Source organism: Homo sapiens, chromosome 6, assembly GCF_000001405.40.
Source record: "Homo sapiens chromosome 6, GRCh38.p14 Primary Assembly".
Taxonomy (NCBI): Eukaryota; Metazoa; Chordata; class Mammalia; order Primates; family Hominidae; genus Homo; species Homo sapiens.
The window spans coordinates 87944118-87950821 of NC_000006.12; positions in this window are offsets into that span (position 1 = coordinate 87944118).

Below are 6704 nucleotides of genomic sequence, written 5' to 3' on the forward strand. Positions count from 1 at the left end.
GTGAAGGGATAGAAACAAAAAAACTTGGCTTGGTCCTGAGCAGGCCATTTATTGCTGGGTGATATTGGACAAATCTATCACCTTCTCTTGAAATTAAGGATAACGTAAGCTTTTACATGGCTGCCCTGAACTGAATAACCCTGAACACATAAAATACCCAACCCAGGTCCTGGAGTACAGGACACATTCAGCGCATACTTCGATGTTTCCCTTCATCCAATTTGTTGTTGTTTTCAGAGACAGGTCTCATTCTGTCACCCAGGCTGGGATGCAGTGGCATGATTGTAGCTCACTGTAACCTTGAACCCCTGGCCTTAAGCAATCCTCCCACCTTGGCCTCCCAAAGTGCTAGGATTATAGGCGTGAACCACTGTGCCCAGTCCTTCATCCAATTTATGATTGAAGCCTCTTTCCTTTAGGATATGAGCTGAGTTTCTCTCTCTCTCAAGCTCTCAACATGCCTTGAAATCTGCTTTACTATAAACGAAAGTGGCTGATTGATATCTGGTGATTAACTAATGATGACAGAAGGAGGGAGGTGACTCTCTGGGGTGACTAAAATGTTTACACTGGGTATTTATCATGCTGCAGTTGAGCTGGAGATATGATCTTGGGGAAAAAAAAGGACTAAAAATGTGACTGCCTCAGTGCAAGTCACGGCTAGACAGAGAGCTCGGCATGCCACCAGCACTGACCTCATGCTGATGGCTCTCAGCACTGAGAAGGCCTGTCAAGACGTGCCAGAGGCTCCACCATCAGGCCAGGGCCAGAGGGTGAAGATAAAGCAGCGTATAAGAGGTAAAAGAAGAGAGATCTAGGAGTTGAGTTTAAATTCCAGGTCCTCCGGCTCAAATTTTGCAGAAAAGGTTTTTTTCTTCTGTTTTCCTCATATACCCTGGAGTTTTTAAGCATGGCATATTTGGAATACAGTTACCACAGGAGAATGCTGGAACTCCAGGGTGAAAAGAGAGGCAATATTTAAGAAAATATGATGTTCCGCCTCTATGAAAAAGCTTGACAGTGTTAACATGCAGCGAATTCAATAGGTGTAATGGGTCGTGGTAAACTACATCCACAGGCTTCCAACCAGCTCTGAGAATAATACCTGCTTTCTCATTGAGTTACAGCGAGAATCAGTATGGGAAAGTGTTAAGCTCTAAGTCACTCCATAAATACTAGGTGTTTTAATGATGACAATTTGGCGGTGAGCAGGGTCGGTGCAGGGAAGATGTCAGAACAAAGTAGGCTGATCTTCCAACGCTCACTCCTGCATTGGCGTCTGGCTCTTAGAGCTCAGTTACTTACTCAGCTGTAAATAAACTCTGAGATGCAGCAGCTCAGCTTCATTCCCTCCCTGCCCTTCTCTTTTGCCTGAAAACATCAAGGGATTGGATGGAAACAAACCATGCAGCAAAAATGTGCTGAAGAGGAAAGAGACTTGTACACTTGAAAATCGCCTCTAAATAGTACTTCTCAGAGGTAAAGCAGTTTAAAAATATCTGTGTATAAAATACACTGAATCAAACAGCACAGAATCTACTGAGCATTGGTATAGATCCCTTTCTTCATCAACACACATTCTGTGACAAAAGTATTTATTTGACTACATAGGATTCAGGGCAGAGAAATAAAACCTGCTGTTAACTGAAGGAAGGCAGCAGCCTTTGTTCTGGCTCAAACGATGTTGCTTGATGGTAGCATGTAGACATACGAAAATAAAGATGATCAAACAGAAGAGTGTGATATATAGTCGTACATTTTGTGAGAGAAAATCTGTACCATTCTGGAAGAGGTGCTTATAAAGGTTCCAGGTGCTGCCGCAGCGCCTGGGTCCACACATCATATGACTTGACATCTTCATTTACCATTTCAACCCTCTCATCATTTCCTCTGCATCTCTGGCTCTTGGGCTTAATTCTTTGGCGGACATGCTTATTCTCTTTACTAACAGGCAGTCAATATTACATCATCCAGTTCTCTGTGATTCCTTTCACACGATGAGATATATTTGAGCAAATTCTGTTGGGACTTGTTTTTCAACTCCACGATGCCTGGCAAAGTGAGGCAGTGAGAATGCCATGCAAAATACTGAAACTTGATTGGATTGCAGCCCAGACGGCGTGACTACAGCAACATGCTTACCCTTCTTTATGTGAGCTGGTGGCTGTAAGACATCCATATGCTGCTACTTGGGCTTCCACCCAAGATGAATAAAGAATGAATGAGGGGGAAAAAGATAACAAATTAATTAGGATTGTCTGTTAATTGAGAGGGTTTGACACGGCTACCTTGTGTTCAACAGATCATGCAACCAGCAACATATTAGTTCATTATCAAGAAAGCAGAACTTGGGGTGAAAAAAATACAGAACAGCACTACAGCAGGGTTTCTTAGTCTTAGCACTGTATACATTTTGGGCTGGATAATTCTTGGTTTTGGGGGGGTCTGTCTTTGGCATTGTAGGGTGTTTAGCGGCATACCTGGCCTCTACTGACTGGATGCCAATAGCACTCTCTCCGCAAGTTGTGAAAATCAAAAATGACTCCAGACATTAGTAAATGTCCCCTGGGGAGCAAATTGCCCCCAGTTGGGGACCACTGCAATACAGTAAATAATACACATCCTGTAGCCCCTCTTTATGTCTCATGTCTTTCCTTTCCCAGTGACCTACTTGACAGGAGCTTGTTGTAAAGCTACAATGAGAACATGATACTTAGACATGAGACAGAAGTGAGATGGTAGTTTACGAGAATACAGAGTGTGACACTTCTTCAAATCATCGTGACTTAACCATGTCCTGCCATACGCAAGGATGTCTTCCCTGGCTCTGAACATTCAGAAGAAAGTGAACTTGCTGAAAGCCTCGCCCCTATGGAGGGGTTTTCAGCTGTTTCTTAAGAAAAACTGACCTTTAAAAATAATTTCTCTTCCAAGATTTTTTTTTTCCTTCTTGAATTAGTTCTTGCCTTTCACTGCAGCAAAATGGCACTTAATGGATCTTTGAAATTTAATATAGGATAATATTTCAAACTCTCTGAAGTTTAATAATAGCCCTCTGAAATGGTTTAGAAATGGGAATTGAGAGGAGAAAGGGTTTTATTTTTGTTTGTTTTAAAATTTTACTCTGCTATTTTAGTGGATGAGCAATCTGATAGGTTCCCCTCACCCCTTTTTTCTTCCCCTTATTCTTAGTGAAGGACAGATGGATAATGTTACAGAACTGGGCATATACTTAGCAACTTATCAGCCATAACCAACTAATCTACAGGAACCAGGTAGCAGGAGGCAGGCTTGTTATTGGATTCACAGAAATGATTCCTAGTGTTTCTCTTTTAATTCTGTAAACAGACACATTGTACCTGGCACACCAAGGTTCTCAAAGTACCCCTCTTGAAAAAATGATCCCTTAGAGTGTTGTGATAAGTCATTACTACTGTTTCCATCAGCAGACTCACAAAAATCCATGCGTACTGGAAATGTTTACACTAGCTCCATTTCCTTCTCTGAAGCTCGGACTGGACACAGAGTAGTCACCTAAACCTATGTATTCAATGGAATTAAACACAACACAGGCAACTACTCTGACCACCACCACTCACCACCAGCCCCTGCATTAGCACAAAGGACTTTCATGTGTGTTTTCCTTACAACAACCTTGTGCTACAGAGGACAGAAAAATATGTTTCTACCTCATTTTACAAACGAAGAAGCACCATTTATGGAGGCATGATAATTTGCCTTTATTCTTAAGCAAGTAAGTGTTGATGCTGGAATTAATTAACTTAAGCATCACTGTACAATAAGAGATACCAGGTCTCTCTTCTGTTGTGGGTTTAAAATAGCTTATCGGATTTTCTGAGCCCTGAATACATTCCTTAAACCCATTTCATATTCTTTTCTCTGCTTTACTAGCCAGCAGGGAAGCTTATCGTTACTAATATAATTAGGTTGAAACTTCCAAGGGAACAGAAACCACTCCTATCTTGTTTGCTAGCACAGAACCTGGCACATAGCAAGCACTCAATAAAAATTTGTTAAATAAATTTGTTGAAAGAATTTGTGTATTTAAAGAACCTTAGAAACTTTGGGCCAGGCGCAGTGGCTCACGCTGGTAATCCCAGCACTTTGGGAGTACGAGGCAGGCAGATCACGAGGTCAGGAGATCGAGACCATCCTGGCTAAGGCGGTGAAACTCCTCTCTACTAAAAATACAAAAAATTAGCTGGGCATGGTGGCGGGCGCCTGTGGTCCCAGCTACTTGGGAGGCTGAGGCAGGAGAATGGCGTGAACCTGGGAGGCGGAGCTTGCAGTGAGCCGAGATAGCGCCACTGCACTCCAGCCTGGGCGACAGAGCGAGACTCCATCTCAAAAAAAAAAAAAAAAAGAACCTTAGAACTTTGACATGAAGAAAGGGATAGCCTAGAGAGCAGATACAAATATTTCCAGGCCCGAGAGGCATATTCTTCACTTCATGTGAATAGAAGTAAATATTCTAACTGGGCTCACGCATCTGTCTCTGGTGAGTTTAATTAGTTTAAGTTGGTCCATGTGATGTGCATTCACTTTAGGAGCACTGACAAATGTATTTTTTTCAGTCTGTAAAGGTGAGGACAGATCACAGACCTTGATACTTTTATGAGGCTTCGAGGAACTAAAGCATCATTATCATTTCTTCTCTTTTAAATTCAACATGCACACCTTAAAATGCAGATTTAAATTGCAATTATTTTTGTGGATATCCTCACCTCATTCCTACCACTTCGCCTCTGCCTTGGAGCCAAGTGGCTGGAAACCTTTGGCATTCCTGTGGGTGGAACAAAATCTCCAATGCGGGAAAAGCGTCCTGAGGTTGACACCCTCCCCTTCCACACCTCCCTGCCCTCATGGGTGGATGGTGGAAGTCAGGCCCTCCTTCCCAATGAAGACCGTCACCCACAGAGAGCAACCGTGAGAGCAATTACAGCTCTGGGTTTTGCAATCAAGCCAGGAGGAAAGGGAAGATGACCACTGACTAATCAAGGCACCTCTCCCCAAGTTTTTCCATTCCTGATTTGGGCTAGACAGTAAAGGTGCTGCCCTTCCTCTGATGATCTTGTTCCTTGCCCAGATCCTCATTTTGCAGGGTCTGGGGAGCAGCATCTTCTGTGGTGTGTAGAGTTCCATGCTGCCTGCCTTGCCCAGATGGCTGGGAGCCCACGCAGCCTATATCTATAGATATAAACGTACGTGGTTCCTCTAAAATGGTGGTTCTCGGCTCTACGCAATTTTGTCCCCAGGGGGACATTTAGCAATGTCTGGAGACATTTTTGTTTGTCACAACTGGGGCAGGGGATGTGCTACTACCATAGATGGGTAGAGCCCAAGAATGCCGGTAAATATCCTGTAGTGCACAGGACACCTCCCTATGAAATGCAAAGCAAAGGAAAACATAAAGGCAAGCCCACGAAGAGTGCAGTTTGTTTAGGTTTGCTGAAAGGAGGCTTTTTAGTGATAAGAATGTCAAACAGCTTTCATCTGAAGGCCTGTGCTTTATAGTGAGTTCGCAAGGCCTTGGGTCTGCAAGTGCAGGGCATTCCCGGTGGTTTAGCCAGTGTCTGTGGCACAGTGCCTGGTCCATGGCATACTTCATGAATATTTCCTAAAGTAAGCATTGTAATTGGGACTGCAGTGTCTATAATAGGAAATTGACTCTTAATTAACTGGTAAGCAGGGGACAAGGAAAAATAATGTCACGAAATTTGAGGGTAGGACAGAGCCGGCAGGTCAATTAGGCTGTAGGACTTCATGGGATTGGTTGTCTAGAGAGTAGCCAAATGTTTAGAGATGTAAGGATCAGATGTCACCACTTAAGGCAGCTCAACCTGAGAGGAAAATGTAGTAGAGGCCATAAAGCCCATAGACTCGGTCCTGGTGCTTTCCGCACCCCTGGACTTCCTCGAGCCTCTAGCACTGAAGGCTCATACCTTCAGCGGCTCTTGAGGTGCTTGGGGAAGGCTGGTTCATCAGTGCTCAGGAGCCAAGATCTCAAGGTCAAAGCCTGGTTCTTGGCTGGGCCTATCTTGCTATTTTGGTCTCTCCCTTTTCAAACATTTTATTTGCTATTTCCAGGTTAGTTCGCCCAAGTTAGTTCTGACATGTCAACCCCTTATTCTAAAACCTTCAACAACTTCCGATGGTTTACTAAATTAAGTTCAAACTCTTTGCTTATATGGTGTTCAAAGCTCTTTCTATTCCAGCTCCTCTCCGCCTTCCTTGCCCACATTTTCTCCCTCCTGTGTTCCTTTCATCCCTTCCATTCCCCCTGTTGCACTCCTTCTCTATACACACCCAGAGTTTCTTTCAAGCTAGACAATTTGCTTTCCATGAATGAGCCCGTGCCCTCCCATCTCAGTGCCATTGCCCTGGGGCAGGAAAACAGAGTCATCCACTGGCCACCACATCACCTTGATGGTGGCTAACCTCACTCCCATCCATTTCTCCCTTCACTGTGTTCATTTCAGGGGTTCTTCTGCTCCCATAAATATGCAAATCATTCAACACTAACGGAGTCAGAATCCAGGAATAAATACCCACTTCCCATCTACTGCTTGCATAGAGAATGTATGTGAATTAAAGAGATAATGCTATCTGTGAAGTGCTTTCATCTTCCTAGACTGAACTACATTCCTTCAAAGTATTATTCAGATTTCACATTGGCTCCCACA